A 22,734-nucleotide genomic window follows, 5' to 3' on the forward strand; every position below is an offset into this window, starting at 1 on the left:
CCAAGAGTTATCTATCTCTATACACCTGCCTTTCTTTGCCCCACATTAAACAGTACTCTTCTATCTCACCTCTGCTTGTCACACCCCTCCGGACACTGCCAAAGAATGCTCATCTCCATCAACAACAGGCCTCTGCTCTGTAGCTGCCTCTCTCTGATTTGCCTTTTCCCCAACTGCAGTTGTCTCTACCCTTTCACTCTGAGTCCTTGTTGAATTCAACGCTGCCTCTATCTAATGAACCATCTCTATTTTCTTTTCTTTTTTTTTTTTTGAGACAGAGTTTTACTCTTGTTGCCCAGGCTGGAGTGCAATGGTGCTATCTCGGCTCACTGCAACCTCCATCTCCTGGGTTCAAGCGATTCTCCTGCCTCAGCCTCCCGAGTAGCTGGAATTACAGGCGCCCGCCAGCACACCTGGCTAATTTTTTGTACTTTTAGTAGAGACAAGGTTTTACCATGTTGGTCAGGCTGGTCTTGAACTCCTGGCCTCAGGTGATCCACCCGCCTCAGCCTCCCAAAGTGCTGGGATTACAGGCGTGAACTACCGTGCCTGGCCATGTACCATCTCTATTTTTTACACATCACAACCACTGGGCACATCATAGATCTCATGACCCCAGTGTCTCTCTTTTTGACTTTGTCTGGCTTGCACTTGACCCCTAAAGTTTTCCACAATGTTTCTAAGGATTGTTCTTTGGCCAATTTAATGGCTTCCTTACTGTGCTGATGCTTCAGTCTTCCGGCCACTCTGTTCAAGTAATAATCTTTTGCTTACTTGTCTTTATCAATCTTTGAAATCTGAATGGTTTTAAAATATTACTTTCCAAGCCTATGCAATTTTTTTTTCCTTTTGTAATGGGTCTATCTGGATAGACTTGAAATTCATTGCTAGAAAAACACCAAAATGCATGCAAAAACACAGGTTCTAATTTAATGGCTGAGTAGAAAAAATAATCACTAGGACACATCCTGTCCATACCCCTGCAATATACGGACAAGCTTTGAAAGCTGGTGTTTTAATATAGTTGTATATTCCCGTGTTGAAATCTGTTTAAAGAATCTAAAGACCAGACATGGTGGCTCACACCTGTAATCCCAGCACTTTGGGAGGCTGGAGTGGGCAGACTGCTTGAGCCCAGGAATTCGAGAACAACTGGGCAACATGGTGAAACCCTATCTCTACACAACATGCAAAAATTAGCTGGGCATGGTGGCGCAGGCCTGTAGTCCCAACTTCTTGGGAGGCTGGGGTGGGAAGCTCCTTGAGCCTAAGAGGCAGAGGTTGCAGTAAGCCAAGATCATGCCACTGCACTCTAGCCTGAAAGACAGATAAAGACCTTGTCTAAAAAAAAATAAAAATAAAAATAAAAATAATTGCCGAGCACGGTGGCTCACGCCTGTAATCCCAGCACTTTGGGAGGCCGAGGCAGGCGGATCATGGGGTCAGGAGATCGAGACCATCCTGGCTAACACGGTGAAACCCCATCTCTACTAAAAATACAAACAATTAGCCGGGCGTGGTGGCCTGTGGCTGTAGTCCCAGCTATTCGGGAGGCTGAGGCAGGAGAATGGCATGAACTCAGGAGGTGGAGCTTGCAGTGAGCCGAGATCACGCCACTGCACTCCAGCCTGGGCAACAGAGCGAGACTATGTGTCAAATAAATAAATAAATAAATAAAAATTAAAAAAATCTAAAAGGGGGTTTTGGTTTTTTTTTTTGTAATGAAATCTTTCATTCTAGGAACAGTCTTAACATTGCAAGGGAAAGCAATAATGAAATGATCATAAAGGAAATGAGGCTTTTAAATCACTATTCATGGGCCAGGAGCAGCGACACGTGCCTGTAATTCCAGCACTTTGGGAGGCCAAGGCGGGTGGATCACTTGAGGTCAAGAGTTCTAGACCAGCCTGGCCAACATGGTGAAACCTCATATTTACTAAAAATACAAAAATTAGCCAGGCGTGGAGATTGCAGTGAGCCTGGGCAACAGAGTGAAACTGTGTCCAAAAAAAAAAAAAGAAAAAACAAATCACTATTGAGTAGGGTGCGCTCTCTGGTGGGTTATAGCAGATCTGTTACAAATCTTTGGCATTATAGTGTCCCTGCATCCCTACTATAGAAACCACAGAAACCAGCAAAAGTTCTGGTATAATACTTACCTATCCAATGTGAACTATCTTTCTACATGAAGGTTTTAAGAGTTCAAATAATATGCAAAAACATCAGGGTTTTCATGGGGCTGGGAGGATATTTTTAAAATACCCCCTTAGAAATACATATTCCTGAAGCCCAAGTATGGAAACATTTTTCCACATGGACACTTAAACATCAGAAAAGAAGTAACAAATTAGTTTAATTTCACTGATTGGGTCATGAAGACACAACTGTACCATACAATTTATCATGCCATTAAATCAAATAGACTGCTGGTGCATTTGGGGGTCTCATTCCCTACTTGTTCTGGGTTTAGGCCTTGTCTATAACTAGCTGCTAGTGATATCAAGTCTTGAACTTCTTTTGTACCTGCCTGAGCTGACCACAGAAAGAAACATCTAAAATGCCTCTTAAACGTGGGCAAGTCAATTTTGTAAAGTCACTGAGTATACTAATATTCTAAATAATTCAATCAAAAATGTAGAATCTAGTCTTGCAAACAAAGTTAAAACCATAAAACCATAGATGAAAATCCAAAACATTGGGAAACAGATGCTTGGCAAATCCAAAAATCGCATATATTAAATCTTAATGTCAAGAGTACAAAAGCCAACTTGTCACAGATTAGTGAAAATGGAAGCAAAGTTAAAAGTTACGGTGTTCCGTATGCTCCCCTTCCTAAAAATCTTCTAGAAGCACATGTCACTTCCAGGCTCACAAACCTTGCATGAAGCCCAGGTGTCTGCAAGACCAACTCCAAACTGCCCAGCCTGAATAGAGGCTCTGAGCATGAAGAACCATCCTCAGCCCCTTCTGTCCCATCTTCTGAGCCTGCTCAACTTTCCACCCAATGTCTACCAGAGCATTTCTTACCTTGTTTGGTAATTAGCTATTCACTTGTATGTCTCCATCACTAGACTATAAGATCCTTGAGGGCAGGCGCTGGAATTCAGTACTCTGCTATCTCTTATGTGCACACCATAGGCACTAGTGAAGTATTCTACAGGTGAATAAATAATTGAATGAATGTGGTGGGACTTCCAGGGAGTGTCTGGAAGCAACAGTATACGTTTGCTGCTGTTGCTGTTCTTGCTGTCTTCCAAGGGTGGCCAAAACAACAGGCATCTTTCTGATCGGGATGAGGCCCCAGAGGGAATAACACTGGAGCATCCCTGTGGGCCTTGGCAATGGGGCCCCAAGAAACAAGATGCCAAAAGTGAAAGCATAGCTCCAGTTGGGGGGTTGGAGGGACAACAAACAGAGGAGAAGGGGGCAGAGGGAAGTCTCTTATGGCAGCATTCTGCCAGCCTGGTTCTGATTCCTTTTTTTTTTTTTTTTTTTTTTTTTTTGAGACAGGGTCTCACTCTGTCTCCCAGGCTGGAGTGCAGTGACACAATCTCTACTCACTGCACCCTCTGCCTCCCGGGTTCGAGCAATTCTCCCACCTCAGCATTCCAAGTAGCTGGGATTACAGGTACACGCCACCATGACCAGCTAAATTTTTTTTTTTTTTAGAGATGGAGTTTCATGCTTGTCACCCAGGCTGGAGTGCAATGAGGTGATCTCGGCTCACTGCACCCTCTGCCTCCGGGGTTTGAGCAATTCTCCCACCTCAGCCTTCCAAGTAGCTGGGATTACAGGTACATGCCACCACGCCTGACTAATTTTTGTAATTTCTAGTAGAGACCGGGTTTCGCCATGTTGGCCAGGCTGGTCTCGAACTCCTGACCTCAGGTGATCCGCCCACTTCGGCCTCCTAAAGTGCTGGGATTGCAGACATGAGCCACTGTGCCTGGCCTGGTTCTGATTCTTTATGCCTCTGTTAGCGCTTGCCAGGTTATCACCTAAGAACATGATATTGCTATTCATCAACTTAAGGCTGGTGTTCTTTAGTGGAAGACAAAATGCTAAGGACAGTAAGCAATGGGAACGAAAATAAACAAACAGATTAAGGACAAGACAAATGGACACAAACTACCATACTACAGAATTCCTCTCTCCCAGCATTGATTTTCCATCTGTTCCATGCTCAAGGGAGTTGCTGTGGAGGTTAATATTTAGCCCATGCATATGAGAGAAGTACAAGATGATTCATAGTTTACAGAGATACCCATAAAATTGGAAACACACCAGCAAATATCTGGCCCTCCTTGAGTTATTAAATTGTCAGTTTAGATATGTTTGGGAATTACTGATAAATTTTAAATAGGTATATATACACTTGAAAGATTAAAGAATAAAAATTTAACAATTTAGCTTTTTCCGTATACATACAGAGAAAGAGAGAGAGAAATAAACGTAACTCTGGCAATTTCTTAAAAAGGTAGGGCATTTTTATGTAGCACATGCTTTTGTTTTTTTCTCTTAACTATCAGCCTTTCATCTTGATGTTGGTAAGGACTGCATTTGCCACAGGCTGATAAGTGGATATGGCAGAACTTCAAAACTCATGTCAGCCAAAGAATTTAGAGAGAGAGAAAAAATCAGACATAAAGCTGGTAAAAAGCAACTATAAAAATTTTTAATGCCTTCTATTTAATTCTGCCAAAAGATCACACAGCAGCAGGATCCAGATTTGGTACATCTCTCAAACTCAACTCATGCATGCACATGGCCTGAATCCAATTTCTTACCCCAAAGATTGTTTTTCATTAAGCTAGTAAACCTAGGAAGGTTGCTTATAAGACCAACAAGTTAATAAACTCCTTCCTTTTAAGACAATTCAAAAGCCTTCCATTTACTAGAGTAAATCAAGAAAAACTGATAAAGAAGAAAATAACAAGACATAAGACATAATTCTTCACTTAGAAATGATAGCCTGGTCTTAAGCCAACAGTCATTATCTACAATTTAAATCAGAACTCAGTACCTTGTTAAGAAAACTTCATTACTCTCATCCTTCCTAAAAGTAACGTCAAGGAAAGACAAAAACACTGTGCATTGCCAAGTCTGTGCTGTTCTTTACTTTGCTCAAGAGATGTTAGGGGAGAGGAGAGAATAAAGATGTGGGCACAAGAAAGTTTGTGAAAATATTGTTCTACTCCCAACACCAGGGGCACCAAAAAACATGTAGCAGAATATTCACAGGATCGCTCTTTGTAACCAAAAATGTGAAGCCACCAAATGTCCATTAGCAGTAGGACAGATTCATAAATTGTGATATAGCCACACAAAGGAATACTATACACCAAGGGGGATGAACATGCACAACTACATATAATGTAGATGAATCTCGTAAACATAATGTAGACCAAGGAGAAGAAGCCAGACACAAAAAGAAAACAAATCTATAAAGTTCGAAAACAGGCCGAGCACAGTGGCTCATGCCTGCAATCTCTGCACCTTGGGAAGCTAAGGTGGGAGGATCACTTGAGGCCAGGAATTCGAGACCAGCCTGGGCAACACAGCAAGACCCCCATCTCTAAAAAACGTTTTAAAAATTAGCCAGGCATGGTGGCACGCACTAGTGGTCCCAGCTACTCGGGAGGCTAAGGCAGGAGGAACACCTGAGCCTGGGAGGTTAAGGCTGCAGTGAGCTGTGATCGCACCACTGCACTCCAGTCTGGACAATGAAGTGAAATCCTGTCTCAAAAAAATTAAAAACAAAAAAATAAAAAATAAAATACATGCTGTTAGGTGTCAGAAATCAAGATGGGCTAGAGGGTGCTGAATGGGTCTGTTTCTTGAGCCTAATTCTAGCTTCACAAATGTTTGGTTTGTGAGAAATTATCTAACTGCCCATTTATGAGATGTGTCCTTTTCTACATGCATATTCTCTTTGGTATAAAATGGAAAGTGTCAATTCAAAAAACTTCCAGACAGCCCTTCAATGTCTGCTTCAGATCTGTCTCTGTGCACCCATTCACAAGCACCATTATTTTTCTAAAATATGAAACTTACAGCTGTTTATTTTAGACAGCCTAATATATATTCAAACATATGCAATATATAACAAAATGTTACTCTGTATCAAAAAAGCCGCCTCAAACTGTGCATGAACAGCCAATTCAGTGAAGAAGAAATTTAAATGTGCAATATGAAAATGAAAAATAGTTGTATTTCATTGTGTTATGAAAAAAATAAAATTGAAACATGATGCTATTTTTTTGTCTTGGTATCAAACGAAAAAGTGCTGGTAAAGGTTTAATAAGGAGCATGCACTGTTATTAGCAGGATAGCATTGGTGCATGTTGAATACTCACATATACATACACCAATTTGATGATATGGAGGACAAGTCTTAAATGTATATACTGGTTGGCCCAATCCTCCCCTTGCTGGGTACATACCCAAAGAAGTAATTCAGGTTCTATGCAAAGACTTCCCTAAAAGGATGTTCACTGAAACAATATTTATAATAGAGCAAGTAAAAGTCCTAAATGCCCAACAATAGAAGATTAATAATGCCCACAAAGCACAAAAAAAAGAAGAGAAGCAAAGAGAAAAGAGAAAAGAACAGGAAGCAAATGCCAAAATGTTAGCAGTGATGGTTATCTGTGAGAAGTCAATTACTTCTTATTACTTCTTATATTTCAATTACTTCTTATATTTCAATTACAATCAATTGAAATATAAGAAGTAATATTCAATTACTTCTTATATTTACTGTGTTTTCCAATATTTCGCTAAAATTAAAAAAAAAAATCAGGCCAGGCACAGTGGCTCACGCCTGTAATCACAGTACTTTGGGAGGCCAAGGCAGGCGGAGGTCAGGAGTTCAAGACCAGCCTGGCCAGCATGGTGAAAACCTGCCTCTACTAAAAATACAAAAAAATTAGCTGGGCGTGCTGGGACGTGCCTGTAATCCCAGCTACTCAGGAGGCTGAGGCACGAGAATCAGTTGAGCCCAGGAGGCAGAGGTTGCAGTGAGCTGAGATTACAACACTGCACTCCAGCCTGGGCGACAAAGCAAGACTGTGTTTCAAAAAAAAAAAAAATTATATATATATATATATATATACACACACATATGTATATATTTAAAAACTTCTCAATGTAGAAATAAATGTGTTTTTATCAGGGCTGTTTCAAACTTAAATATTACAGTTCTTACAGAGAACTTACTGATCTTTTTTTTTTTTTTTTTTTTTTTGAGACAGTGTCTCGCTCTGTCGCCCAGATTGGAGTGCAGTGGCACAATCTCCGCTCACTGCAAGCTCCGCCTCCTGGGTTCAAGCCATTCTCCTGCCTCAGCCTCCCGAGTAGCTGGGACTACAGGTGCCTGCCACCACACCCAGCCAATTTTTTGTATTTGTAATAGGGACGAGGTTTCACCATGTTAGCCAGGATGGTCTCGACCTCCTGACCTCGTGATCCACCCGCCTTGGCCTCCTGAAGTGCTGGGATTACAGGTGTGAGCCACCACGTCTGGCCTTGCTGACTTTTTAAGAAAGTACCTGGTCTTTCTGAAATACAAGTTAATGGTAAATAAAAGAGATGCCAGCACTCTCACCACAATTGCCACAATCAAGTATTTGCTTGAGAATTATTTTTTTCTTTCCTAAATCCCCTGTAGGGGTGGGAAGGAGGTATTAGACATTCTGTGAGCTCATGCCCAGTTTAACCCTAATTCCTCAGGCAAAATATAACCTGTGAGCTTTTTGTGGCTTCTCCCTGCAGCAACAATCTGATTGACTCAGCACACAGTTATTTATTAATCATTCTATGTAAAATTATAGGGTTCTATAACAATTGTGCAGTGTCCTCCATTCCCCACTCACCTCACTTTCCAGCTCTTCTGACTCTATACAGCTCTAGGAACTGTATTATCAGTTCACTGTCTTGCATCTCACCTTAGCTTCTAATAAGTGTTAGATTCAAAGCTAGACTTGATTGCAAAAATTTTCAAGATTGTTCAGAAGTCTGTATGAGATGTGATTTCATGGCCTTTTCTATCATACAAGTCCACTGTCACAGGCTTCACGAAATAGACATTTAGCAAGACATTTTAACACTTCTTCCCAAGTGAAAACTTCAGGATTTTTTAAAAAACTTTTCCTATGAAGAGAACTAAGGAGATAATAGGCCTAAGTACAGAAGAAGCAAATTAAAAAGAATTTCCAACTCCCACATCACTATGTTTAAGCAATGTGAATACATCCACAAGTAGAAAAAAGACTAGAAGGAAATGTACTAAAATGTTAACAATTGTCATCCACACATGAATAGTGAAATAAGGCTAATATTTGTTTTATTTTGCTATGTTCTTCAATATTTTTCAGACTTTCCACAATGATTATTGCTTTTGTTATTAGAAACCATAATCAAATGCTACAGGACACAGAAAATGCGGGGAGAAAAAAGGTAGACGTCTGGTAATCGAAGGCCCTGGGACTTGCAGCTTCTCAACTTGCTCAAGTTTATACAGTTCTTAAAGCTTTCTTCCAAATGTAGGTCAAAGCTAAGTCACTGAGTCCTTAGAGAATTCCTTCTGTCACTGCAGACAGCCCTCTGGCATTTATAATCCATAGTGGAGGTTGAAAATACAGGTGACAATAAAGAAAAGACCCAAGACTGTGCCATGATCTGTTTTTATCTATTTTTCTTAGAAATTTTAATGGTATTTGGGGGCAGAGTTTCCCAACAAAATTGAACAGAATGTACCTTCACATTGCCTCTGAGAATAAAACAATGTTTACGGCTCCAAAGGACGGGGGTGGGGGTGTCTATAGGACTCGTGCACATTCTGCTCTCATGCATGAGATCTCAGCTATGGGTTTTGAACAGAAAAGTATATTTCCTTCTAGTCTTTTCTCTACTCCTGGATGTATTCACATTGCTTAAACATAGTGACATGGGAGTTGGAAATTCTTTTTAATTTGCTTCTTCTGTACGTAGGCCCGTTATCTCCTTCGTAGTTCTCTTCATAAGAGAAGTTTTAAAAAAAAATCTTGAAGTTTTCACTTGGGAACATAAAACAATATTAACTGCTCCAAAGGGCAGAGGGTGGGGGTGCCTGCAGGATTCATGCACATTCTGCTCTCACCCATGAGATCTCAGCCATGGGTTTCAAACAGAAAAGAGGGATCCGCATGTCTTAACTCACTGCCTCTGTGGTAGAGGAGAATTTGCATGGCTGGCATTTCTATCAAAAAGCAGAATTAGATAGTAAGATGAAAAAGGATAAACTTTTTTACACTAAAAAGTGTAAATGAATTAAATGAATAAAGTGGTCTTGCAATCATCCCGCACCTAGGTAAATGTATGGGTTTGTACGCATTCTTTGGAGCTTCCCCCTTTCAAGGTAGCCCATCCAAGAGGATCTGTGGCTGAGTCGTTTGTGCAGCAGCAGGGATGGACAGCGCGGATGCATCCAATCCTCCTGGTCCAGCCTCTGGCCTGGGCCTCCAAATGGTTGCCTGGGAGAAGGGGATGAGTTTTCAGCAGTGGAGCTGAGAGTTTTCCGTGAGTAAAGTTAACACATTTCATTACTTGGCTATTATCACCTTCTATTTAACAAAGCACAAGCCATTTATGACTCTCAAAGAGCCATTCACCTTCTACCTAATATCACTCTCACAGCAACCTTGCAAATTATGAAGATTATTCCACATTTTACAATTATGAAAACAGACTTGGGATGAAGTAGCCCAAACCCCATCCCTGGGAAGCAGCAGTCAGAAGGAGAGAGAAAGGACCACGGACAAGTGAACAAGAAGTCCAGTGCCCTTACCCGGTAGTGCCTGCCCTCTGCAGGGTAGCCCACTGAGCACACTGTAGACCTTACTCTTCCCTGCAAGTCAAATTGTCACAACGACGGGTATATTTTTATGTTGCATTCTCCCACAGGTAGATGTACCATAAGTGCTGGTGAAATACTTGATGCCTGGCTGACTTGGAGAGATGCAACCTCCACGAGCACTAGGCTGCATTAGCCAAGCCATCGTTGACAGACACGGCGGGCAAAAAATATTCTAAAAGAATCAGTTGAAATGCCTAACACAGAGACAGAAATCTTTTCTCTCTCTTCATGTCCCCTCATGTCCCAAGCAACTTTAAGTTACTTATTTCTAAAGCCCAGTCTGGCCCTATTTTTTTAAAATTGCATTAATATGACTTGTTCAGTCTTTGCAATAAAACTAGCAGCATGAATGGATGAATGTCCTGCACAGATCCAGGTAACGAGGGTACTGTCTATTTTGGCTTTTGTGGAAAGCTGCCCATTTATTCTGATTTAGAAGCAAATAAATATTATAATATTCTCCAGTCATTTTTTTCCTGTATTTTCCTGTCCTCTTTCCCTTTTTTTATGTGTAACCTGAATGATCCTGCCAGAGTCTGATGAGAGCCTTCTAAACCAGGCTCCTTTCACGAGCACAAAAGACTTTCAGAACCTCTCATTCCCCCAAAGCAGAAGGAAGCTCAGAGAACTCTTTGGGAACATGATCAACTCTAGCACAGCCACTGGCTCTCAGGAAGGGTCCATGTTCCCTGCAACAGGGGAGTTACCCAGGGGAGATGAGGAAGCAAAGTACACGCTAAGAGAACTCAAGAACAGAAGCAGAGCTGGTCTATATCAGCCCCTTACCAGTTTACACTTTTAGTCATTTTATGCTGGGCACAAGCTTGACCACTGCCACATGGCTTTTATTTCTGAGAAATCACTAAAGGATTACAGAAATTTTGGCCTGCTATGTTAATTCTACCAAAATATCCTAATTTTGTATTTTTCCAAAAGGCCAAAAGGCAAATGGAAAGCAGATAGCTGGTGATATTTGATTTTCTAAAAAAAATTAAATTAAATGCAGCATGGTTTCAAGTATTCCATAGGATAAAAGACTCTCAAATATGTACAAGCCATTTATAGTTAAAATACTAGATAAAACATAAATGTTATAATTGAGAATTTCTGATGGCAATTTTACTGAATTTAAAATCAATAAAGAACACCCATCATCTGGGTAACTAATTTTGCTTTTCCGTCTGACTTATTCCACCTAAACCAGGTAACCTTCCCACAAAATAAATATTTCTTTTGACGTTGCTTATGAAATGTGGAATTGACCCAGAAATTCTAATTTCCTGACTTTGTTTACTGAGAACTCTGATTCAAAACTGGGTCAAGAGATGTCTGCATTGTATGTCAAAACTTCTTCCAACTGAATTCACCTTTCAGCCAGTCCCGCGGACTCAGTGGACTTCATCCCAAATGCCTGTTTATTCATTTCCTCCCCTGGAAACGTTAAAAGCTCCGTGTTGTTAACCAGCTGGTTAGAGTTGAGCAAATCCTCATAAATCAGCCCTTTGCCCAACGAGCTGGGAGTTCATGGTCGCTCTTCCCTGACACACAGAGAAAACAACTGAAGCACATTTCGGTTCACAAAAGAACATTCACATGTTCACAGACCTCGGCTTTCATCTGTCGGATCACAGTTCGTTTTTGATGAACTGTGTTCATCAACCGCCCCCCAGGGCCGCACAGAGGGTGACGGCACGGGCGAGGAGTCTGGCTGCCAGGGTTCAAGGCCTGGCTCTGTCACTACACTCAGCTCCAGCTCGGGCAAGTCACTGAACTCCCCGAGCGCCATTTCCTCATCTGTAAAACGTGGAAACAGCAGTGGGCTTGCCGGGAGGATTAAGTGAGGATGCGCAGGGGAAGTGTTCTATAGATGTCAGCTCTCAGTAGAACCTCTGCCCCCATGCTGACATGAAGTATGTCTATGAAGCGGTGGGATTGTCTTTCCTGCCTGATTTCTGTAAATGCCGTCTGTTACCTTACAGTCGCACCTTGTGCAACTGTTTGAGTCCATTAAATTCCCAGAGAGACCCTGAGACTAGCTGATCAAAAACACACCACCTATGTGGTACTTGGTGTGTCTGTGTGTCTGTGATCAACAAAGTGATAAATGCTTTTAAGTGTTGGGATTCACCATTGATGCTAGCATGAATAAAGTACACTGGGCCAGTCCCCCCGAAATGCTTGCCTTCCATCCCTCGGTCCAGTTGTATAAGCTGAGGAAACAGACTTCACCCTTTTGGGGCTCAGTCTCTTCATTTGGAGAAATAGGGGCTGGGTACAGTGGCTCATGCCTGTAATCCCAGCACTTTGGGAGGCCAAGGTGGGCTGATCACTTGAGGTCAGGAGTTCGAGACCAGCCTGGCCAATATGGCAAAACCCTGTCTCGACTAAAAATACAAAAATTAGCCAGGCGTGGTGGCACACACCTGTAATCCTAGCTATCTGGGTGGCTGAGGCACGAGAATCACTGGAACCTGGGAGGCAAAGGTTGCAGTGAGCTGAGATTGTGCCACTGCACTCCAGCCTGGGTGACAGAGTGAGACTCTGTCTCCAAAAAAAAAAAAGAAATGACAGTAGTCTCTCTTACAAAACTTTTGCGGCTGAAAGTGAGTTTTAAACAAACTTATATAAAAAGCATAAACATTAAAAACCATTAACTCTATATGGGAGTAACTGGATTCCAACTTGCATACCATGATGTATAATAACACTAACAGTAACAACTACCGAATATCAGACTGTACAAAACCCTTTATCTCTTTGATTTCCTTAAATCCTCACCATGAGCTTATTGTTTCCATTTTATAAAATAAATATAAATAAATAAAACCAAAGCTTATAGAAGGTAAGAAACTTCCCTAAGGCCACACAGCAAAGCCAGAAATTAAGCCTGGGTCTGTTGGATCCCACAGCCCACGCACATAACTCTGAACAGTACAGGGCCCAAAACCACCCTCCTACTGGCACCAAGTCTGAACTTGTCAACTGAGCTCCAAGTCACAGACAGAATGATAAAGGAGGATTGTCACACAAGTCAGGCATGGTGACCGAAACAGGGACTGATGTCCTGGCCAGCTTGTCATGAAGCCCTATTTCAATTTGATTAACATTTACTCATACCCCATTACTTTAGTCCCCATATGCTGGTGCTGACCCAAAGATATCCTCAAAGATCCACCAAGATGCCAGAAGGCAGCTGGATTCCAAGCAGAGGTACAGAGAATGCCCCCTCCACAGTTCTGTACAGGACTTTCCCCACAAGTCCTGACAAATCCTGTGAAGGCCCATAGGTCACATGAAGTCCTTCATGAAAACAGATCTATCAGCTCAGGTTTCTAAACCTTCTTCTCTAACGCCACCCAGGTTCCTCTCTCTCTTTCTCTCCAGGGGCCTGCCTGTTCCTTCTGCAGTCAGAAGAACAAGACATGAATTCATGCAAACAGATGCCCAGAGAGGCACAAGCCCATGGCTTGCACAAATAGCGGGATTGCCAACCCCAGTCTGAACTCTGCCAGAACAATCTGCTTCCTCATCTTTTATGGGTCTAAGACAATCTGCTTCTTTAGCCCTAGGCTATTGAGAAAAATACAAGGTCCACAACTTAACTCAGTGAGCATTCCCTCAAAGAAACTATTCCCTGAATCTTCACCTAGTTTTGCTGCTCTCCTTTGGAGGTCAGTGAAGGTGGGATATTGATCCCCAGGGTCCACAGCCCAGCCCTCCTCAGTGCAGCCCTGCCTGAGGGTCCTGGGAAACCAGGCAATGCTGGAACCCAAGGAAGAGCACAGGATCGCTTCCCTCTCCCCTCAGGCACTTTTTAAATCTAGCCCCCAAATTTCCAGGCAGGGGGCCAAGCTGTTCAATAGAAGGCATACACTAAACTGAGGAGCCAGACTGGAATGGGAAGTGGCCTTCTCACGGAGCTAAGAAGGGACTCTGTTCATTGATTTATCCATCCCTGTCTAATTCACCTATTTACTGAACACCCACTTTGTTACAGGAGGGGCTGATCTAGGTGCTGACGCTCCAGTGATAGGGACACTCCGTCCTTCCCTTGAGAGCTTACATGTCCTAGTTGCAGCCCATATTCTAGTAGGGGTGGGTGAGAGTGATAGAAAGAGAGTGGCCAGAGGTGGAGAGGAGTGTCAGCAAAGGCCTCAGGGACCCTCACATCAAATATTGAGAAATATCCCCTGATGCAGAGTGGGGAGGAGAGACGGAGGCAGCAGGAGGTCACATATTCAATGATCAAAAACATAAAGAGGACTGTAACTTCAAATAAAGAGAAAGATTTCATGACCTTGGCCTTTTAGAAGCTAAGGGAACTGAAACTGAAAAGGTCATATAAGGGCGGAAAATGAAGCAGAGTCCACAATTATCACCTGTTTAAAGGTGAGGAAAATGAAGTGCAAAAAGGAAGAGAACACACTTGGCATATGGCAGCGTTGGTTTGTGAGCCCCATCAGTCTGATCCAGAACTTAAGCCTTTGCCCACTGAGCTCCAGTTCTACATTTCTATGGCTTAAAAACATGTAGATATTCAAAATCCTAAATATGATGGAAGGAAGATCATCAGTAAGCAGCTTATTCAAAGGTTATGGGGACTGAAGACAAACGGAAGAGTAAATTAATGTGAAAAAACATAGATGGGCCAGCAGAGATAAGCAAGGGGAAGGTTTAATAGAGCGAAGCTGATGCAAACAACAGTGTGCTCCTCTGCAAGAGTGCACCCTGTCTCCTCGACGGGCTCGTCCAGTAAGACAATAGCAGAGGCTCACATGCTGCTGGGATGTCTAACATATGATGTCTGGAGAGGCTTTGCTAGGGGCAGTATCACTCACGACTCCATGAACATTCACGCAACCCCGCTAAGTGTGGGGACCAGCTGGATCCTGGTGCACCAAGGATGATAAAATGGCTTCGCCTTCATGGATCTCAGTCACTAGCCAAACTTGACATGGAAAAAATCAGTGCTAACAAGAACTTCAGGTGCTATTCAGCTGAGAATCTGAGGGGTACAGTGAATGTGCTGCCTCTGGGCCCAAGGGCCCAGCTGTGTCCCAGCTGAGATGTCGGCCAAAAGCAGCACACAACAAATGTCCACACACTCAACTGCTCTGCTTAGAACAGAAAGCTCCAGGGAAGACAGTCAGGACAAAATGTGCATCACCTAAAGTGCCAACAAAGTTGTGTATCATCCCTGCAGCTTCTGCTGAGACCCCAGCTTACCATCATATCAGTAAGGCAAACTGCAGGCCACCCAGATGCAGGCGCTTAATTCCATAGTCATTGTAAAAGCTCCTCGGGCAATGACCAGGACGGCAGATACCATGGTACTGACCATTCTGGAATATGTGTCTTTGAAAAGATAGCCCACTCCCACCACCTACAGAAAAACAAATTAAAGCTAAACGGCCTTGCCTCTTATCTCCAAGGAACTCATCACCCCCCTTCAAGAAGAAAGGAGAGCTATTCCTTCACTGCTACAAAGAAGGGCTGCACTAGACTGAATCAGGCCCCTTCACTCATTCAGCAAACATGTACTGAGCTCCTACTGTGTACTGGGGACTAGTAGCTAGACCCTGGTCTAGACACTTGGACTCTAGCAATCAACAAAATAGACACATCCCCATCACTGGAAGATTAGAGTTTACCAGGAGGAAAGGATAGTGTTTGTTAGAGGTTACCAAGCGGCTATGGGAAAATAAAAGTAGAGTGGTGTTCAGTGGGACCAGGCAACCGGGGGTAGGCAGGAGGCAGGCAGGCAGACAGAGCAAGGTGATCTGGGTGGATCACACAAAAAATGGACATTTGAGCACAGACTTGACAGACATGAGCGAGTCAGGAGAACAGACACAGGGGAAGAGGAAGAAGAAAGAGCCAGGGCAACAAGGCAAAAATGTTCCTGGTGTGTTTAAGAAAAGGCAGTGGGCAGTATGGCTGGTGATATGGTTTGGCTGTGTCTCCACCTAAATCTCATCTTGAATTCCCATGTGTTGTGGGAGGGACCTGGTGAGAGGGAATTGAATCATGGGGGCAGGTCTTTCCCATGCCATTCTCGTGATATTAAGTCTCACGAGATCTGATGATTTTTAAGAGGGGAGTTTCCCTGCACAAACTCTCCTCTTGTCTGCTGCCATGTGAGATGTGCCTTTCACCTTCCACCATGATTGTGAGGCAACCCCAGCCATGTGGAACCGAAAGTCCAATAAACTTCTTTCTTTTGTAAATTGTCCAGTCGTGGGTATGTCTGTATTGGCAGCGTGAAAACAGACTAATACAGCTGGAGCAGAGGGAAGGCGTGGGTGGGCAGGTAACGGGAGGGACAGAGTGTGCTGCCCAAGGCCACTGTATGGACATTGACTCCAAGGGAAATGGGACCCTTGGGTGAGTTTTAAGCAGGAGAGTGACATAATCCAACTTATATTTGTAAAGGCTCACTGTGTTGACAACAGACTCTAGTAAAGCAAGGATGGTGGTGAGGAAACTGAGGGCTGTTGGTGCAATCCAGGAAAGAGCTGATGGTGGCTCCTAGGAAGGCAGTGAGCAGGGGGCAGATTCTGGTGCTTTATGAAGAGAAAAGTCCACAGAATTTCCTAGCAAGCTAGACTTGGGATGTGTGTGTGGCAAGGGGGTATGGGTGTGTGTATGTGTGAGAGAGTGAGAGAGAGACGGAGAGGTGAGGGAGTGGGGAATATGGTTCCAATGTTCCACCGTTGGGAGCCTGAAGAACTGAAAGCATGGCCTTGCCATCACCTGGGCTAGAAAAGGTGTAGCAGCCTGAAGTGGGTGGAGAGTAGCTCATTTCGCCAATGTCATGTTTAAGATGTCTTGCAGATATCCAAACAGAAGTGTCTGATGGGCAGCTGATACACAAGTGTGAAGTTTGGATGGGAGAGAGCAGGGCTGGAAGAATGAATTTGGACGTTATAAGCAAATCAGTGGTATTTCAATTCATAAAACTGGCTGCGAGCTCCCAAGGAATAAGTACAGAGGGAGAAGAGGGCCCAGGTCTGAACTCTGTGCTCTCCCATGTGCAGGAGATAAGAACGAGGAGTGGCCTGCAGAGGACAGGCAGTGGTGGGGGCGGAGGACAACAGAGAAGGCCCAGCTATCATGCAGAGACTGTGCCAGGTGGAGCAGGGGGAAGACCCCTGTCATCATGTCAAGCATAATGAAGACTGAAAACTGACCACTGGTCTAAGCAACCAGAGGACCAACAGTGGCCTGGACAAGGCAGCTTTTGTGGAACAAGTGACTGGGGCAAAAACTAGAGTGGGTTCAAAAGAGAATGGCTGAGGGTGAAAACAGCGAGCTCCAATGGCCCTGTGAAAGAGAGCTTACACACAGAGGAGCCAGGGGAAGGTGGCAGCTGGTGAGATGAACATGGTCACTGAGTGTCTGTTTCTTTTCAGAGGATGGACATGTGTATCCTGATGGAGCAATCCAGCAGAAAGACAAATCAGGTGACACAGGCGGGAGAGAGGTGGAGTGATGGCCTGGAAAAGGCTGGAGGGTAGGACCCAGGATGCGCTCAGCATTGCCTTTAGACAGCAGCCAAACAGTTCGAACAGCTCATCTGTGGGAGGCAGTGGGCACAGACCCTGGCAGATGAGAAGTCGGTGAAAATTATCTCCTGTTGGAGTGAAACTCCAAGATTTCCTTAGTGAAAGTAGAAAGTAAGGTTATCGCTGAGAAATGACATCCAAAAAAGTCTTTGACATCCAAAAAGGTATAATGTGTAATTACCCTTTCTATTGTCTACTAAATTATATAGCCCAAGAATAAGGAAATCTCACATCTACTCTAAAATCCTCTGGCAAACCTGGACCTGCACAGATGTTTCCTTACTGGAAAGGCGTTCCAATCGTTCACCCAGTATCTGGACTGGGGGCTGGCAAAGCTTTTTTTGTCAAAGGCTACAGTGTAAATATTTTCAGTTTTGCAGGCCAGTCTGTTGTAATTCTGCAACTCTGCAATAGTAGGGCTAAGGCAACCACACACAATCATAAACAAATGGAGTGGCTGTGTTCCAATAAAACTTTACTTACACAAACAGGCTGGGTTTGGCCCTCCAACTATGGTTTGCCAACTCCTATAATCTAGAAAACAGACTTTCTAGGGATTATATTAGAATATCAGAACTTCTCACCTACACTAAAAATATTACTGCCTAACAAATGGAAGGTCCAGATACATCACAGACAGCAATGGGTAACATGACTTAAATTTCAGCCTATGCAGAATTTCCAGGCTAGGCGCGGTGGCTCACCCCTGTAATCCTAGCACTTTGGGAGGATGAGGTGGGTGGATATCTTGAGCCCAGGAGTTCAAGACCAGCTTGGGCAACATGATGAAACCCTGTCTCTATAAAAAAATCCAAAAAAAAATTAGCCAGTGTGGTGGCGCATGCCTGTGGTCCCGGCTACATGGGAGGCTTAGGTGGGAGGACTGCCTGAGCCCAGGAGGTCAAGACTGAAATGAACCATGATCACAACTTTGCATTCTAGCCTGGGTGCCAAAGCGAGACCCCATCTCAACAACAAACAAAAAAACAACAAAAACAAAAACAAAAACTTCCAAAGCCAGTTCATATAGTTTTTAGTATAACTCTATAAATACCATTCAACTGTGATTTCGAGGTGTAATAAAAACATTCCATTGCCCCACACTACATTCCCCTAAGATGACTATACCCATTTTGCAAAAAGATAATGGCCTAGGTTAAAATACTCACACGAAGGAACAAGGTCTCATACATCTTGGTAAATAACATCAAGCACTAACTAGCTAGAAAAATCATCCATGTACCGAACTTTCCAGGAACTAGTTGCCTGGGCCAGTAAAATGAGACTTCCATCTTCAGATTACAGGACTTCAGAGTGGTCCTTGTAGATGAGCTAGCTTTGTTACTGTTGTTGTTTCATGTTTAGGGTCATCTGTAAGTTTGTCTGTAAGAACTCTTTCTCTCCTAGGTTCCTGGGGCCCTACGATTTACAACGGGCCTCCAAGAGTCCAGGAATCTCTTGGATTCTAAGGCTATGAGCAGCACTGTCCAATAGCACTTTCTGTGTTGATGGCGTGTTCCACAGGTGCTCCGTTTGGCAAGGCAGCCAGTAGACCCGTGGCCGGTGAGCACTTCAAATACGGCCAGTATGACTAGGGCTGAATATTTAATTTTATTCCATTTTAATTTACATAAATTTAAATATAAGTAGTCAAATACGGTGAGTGGCTACCATGTTGCGCAGGACAGCTTTAGGGGAAAAAATGGAAATGAAAATGTAAACAGGTACTACTTTTCCTTTCTTCTTTTCTGTCTAAATTCTCCAAATAGTACCAAAGACCCTGCTTTATATCCTTGCTTTAAAATTAAAAAAATAATAATAATAATCCCTGTAAACGCATGCTCTTTACCCAAAGAGCCGAAGTTTCTCCTTAAACTTTTTCGCCAAAGGACCTCACATTTCACTTCTGACCAGCTAAGCTTATTACCAACTTTCCAATATTCAATGGAAGACAAGGCCTCACATAGTATTAAAAAAACACATTTTTATATGCATATGTATATGTGTGTGTATATATATATATATATATATATATATATATATATATACACATGTGTGTATATATATATACACACATATAAATACACACACACACACACACACACACACACAGAGGAATTTTTTTGGCAAACAAGAGTCCCAAACAAATTGCTTTTGGCCAGGCGTGATGGCTCATGCCTGTAATCCCAGCACTTTGAGAGGCCGAAGTGGGCAAAGTGCGCAGATCGTTTGAGGCCAGGAGTTCAAGAATGGCCTGGCCAACATGGCGAAACCCTGTCTCTACTAAAAATACACAAAAAAATTAGCTGGGCATGGTGGTTCACATCTGTAATCCCAGTACTCTGGGAGGCCTAGGTGGGCAGATCACTTGAGGCCAGGAGTTCAAGACCAGTCTGGTCAACGTGGTGAAACCCCGTCTCTACTAAAAATAACAAAAAAATAAGCCTGGCATGGTGGCGCACACCTGTAGTCCCAGCTACTCAGGAGGCTGAGGCATGAGAATCGCTTGAACCCAGGAGGCAGAGGTTGCAGTGAGCCGAGATTGCGCCATGGCACTCCAGCCTGGGTGACAGAATGAGACTCTGTCTCAAAAAATTAAAAAAAAATCACTGTTAATATTGACGTTCTCATCCTTTCAGGGTATAAACACTATCATATTGGTGATGCCAACCTCCATATTTGCTTTTCACCAGGTGCAAGCAAACAGCACAAGGACAGGTGGCAACAGGCTAAATGCTGATGAACTTTCATGTGCCAGGCTGTTATTTGGGTGGGGGGCAAATCAGGAAGGGGCCTGAGGCACCTCGTCATTACCTTATCTTACCCCAGCCAGGGCCATAGCAAGGGCCCAGGACAATCAAGCTTTGAAAAGTGGACAATTTCTGGGGACAGCAGATAGGAAGGGGTTCCTAGTCAGAAATCCATGCCCCTTACAGGAAGTGAGTTTAGTTTTCTTTCCAGGTCACTGAAGGACCTGTGACAGCCTGAAGACTTCCCAATCCCTACACCGCCGTCAAATAAAGAACAAGTAAGATGTCCTATATTATATCTATATTTATGTTTTATATTTGCTCAAGTCAAAAAACGATGAGTCATCTTGGATTCCTCTCTCCACAACATAGGCTGAGTCCATCCACTTCCCTCCCTCTTCAGAGCTGGACCGTCACCCCCTCTCACCCGGACTCAGCCAAGCTGCAGTAGCCTCCTAAATGACCTCCTAGCTCTCCTCCTGCCCCACATGTTGACCAGGCCACCTTTTCAAAACAATGACCACAGCATGGAAATCGGGAGCCAGAAATGTAAGCCTGGCCTCCTCAGGTTGGGTCCCCAGCTCCGACACTGGCCATGGGCCTTAGGCATGTCTCTGCCTCAGTTCCCTCTTCTGTAAAATGGGGAGGGATAATGACAGTAGCCACTTGATAGGATTACCGAGGATTAGATGCGTCACTCATGCAAAACACTCAGAATGGGATGAGCACATGCTAAGCACTCTCTAGGAGGTGCCCTCTCTAGAACGCTCCCCTCTGCTCTACCTCCCGTCATGCTTAGAATAAAACTAAAATTCCTGCCTCAGCCTCATCTCCTTCCCCTCGTCTCTGCTCTGGCCAGTCTCTGTTTCTGTTGTGAAACACACCATGCCTAGGTCTGCCCCAGGGCTCTGCGCTGCCGTTCCCTGACCTGCAAGGCCCCTGCCGCAGATCTCCCTGTGGCTGCACCTTCAGGTGTCTCAGGGTCCCTCAATCACCAGCTATCTCATCAGCCCATTTATGATCATCAGAGCACCCATTCCACCTGGTACCTTCATGTTCACTGCCTTGTTTACCGACTGTCTCCTGACTAGAAGGCGGGCCTGCTCTTCCTACAGTGAAGGAACACCATATCTGTTTCCTTCAACACTCCCTTCAGGGCCTAGAACAGTGACTGATTTTAGGAAAAGCACAATAAATGTGAATTGTTTTAATGAATGAATGAATGAAGCCATGTAATATATGTTATGGTGACATCATGATGCCCAACCCAGAGACACAGACACCCTTTAGCGCTCAGCCCATGCAAGGATTGCCTGTGCCACAGAGAGCTGCTTTGAGCAGAGGGACACTCATTCCTGGGGCAGCCCTCACCCCCAGGAATTATTAGATCAATAACTAATTTGTGTGAAGGTGTGAAGGCCCAGCCGTCTCAGTACGACTTGGGACAACTCTTACTCCCCACTGGACCCCTGTGGGGTCAGCTGAGGCTGGCATGGCACCTTCGTTGCATCCTGACATCTCCCTGTACTCCTTCCTGCTCCTCCCCTCTCTTCCCCAGATGCCTGTCTTGAGGGCATTCCCTAATAAACATCCTGCACACAAAACTCTATCTCAGAGTCTGCCTCCTGGGAAATGCAACCTGCAACACACATGATGCCTGTTAAGGTGAACACTGGCTCCCATCCCACCTGGGCATGCAGGCAGGCAGGCTGAGGAGATCTACACAGTTTGGTGTCTTCCTGTCCTGTGCTACTGGGTCCCCTCCTCTACCTGGACTGACTGCTTTTACAAAGCTGGCACCCAGGGCTCTTAATTCACCCTACTGTGGGGGTTTCAGGGCATGTTTCCTGAGTCCATCAGAATCCACACATATTCAAATCCACTGTAATTTAGCCATGTGTTTTCTCCCAACTCATGGGAAGAGGTCCAGGGACCACCTAAAAGACCGCTTCCTTCTCCAGGCTGCTTTCTTATTCCCTATCACCCACTCATGCTCTCCCGCATCTTTTTCCTGCATCCATTCAGAGGGGATTCACAAAACATGCTGAGATGCTTTCAAGTAGTAGTATGATCCACACGCTCTTCAAGCCACATTTTTCCTATAATTATGGCAGGATGCTCAGAGCCATTTCTTGGGCAATTCTCAGATACTACAGATGAGCTCTAGCTTCTGTCTTGCAGCTCTCAGGAAGTACAAATATCCAGATGCTTTATTCGTGACATTTTGGAGCTGCCCAGATGTGCTACAGCTTCCCTTGTGCACTCCTATGCACCACAGATGTGCTGCTACAGAGTATATGTGCATTGTCTTCTTGAACAACCAGTGAGTCTCTCCAGCCTGCAACTGGTGCTATTAGTATCAAGGATGAAAGATTGTGATCTAAGAAACACACGCACACACACCCTGGCAGCAGTAGTGTGTACTCACTTTCCTGGGTTGACCATTTATACAAACACCAGCCTCTCAGAGCTTAGAGCCTCAGCCTGTCCCTGGAGTCATGGGGCATGTGCTAGGCTCCCTCTT

The 22,734-nt window shown here is 43.9% G+C and overlaps 1 protein-coding gene across 7 annotated transcripts in view; it reads right to left on the reverse strand.

The window, feature by feature from the left end:
- Window positions 1-22,734, reverse strand: part of GLI3 (GLI family zinc finger 3) — a 303,320-nt gene that overhangs the window by 202,226 nt on the left and 78,360 nt on the right. Inside the window, exon 1 of one of the 7 annotated variants that reach the window (XM_017011997.2) lies at window positions 9,346-19,441. The exons of the other annotated variants lie outside the window; for them this stretch is intronic. Coding sequence (XP_016867486.1) covers window positions 9,346-9,466 — 121 coding nt within the window. The 5' untranslated portion in view covers window positions 9,467-19,441. Of the gene's footprint in view, window positions 1-9,345; window positions 19,442-22,734 lie in introns of those variants that run through there. 7 annotated transcript variants of the gene reach the window in all.

This window comes from Homo sapiens, chromosome 7 (assembly GCF_000001405.40).
Source record: "Homo sapiens chromosome 7, GRCh38.p14 Primary Assembly".
Lineage (NCBI taxonomy): Eukaryota > Metazoa > Chordata > Mammalia > Primates > Hominidae > Homo > Homo sapiens.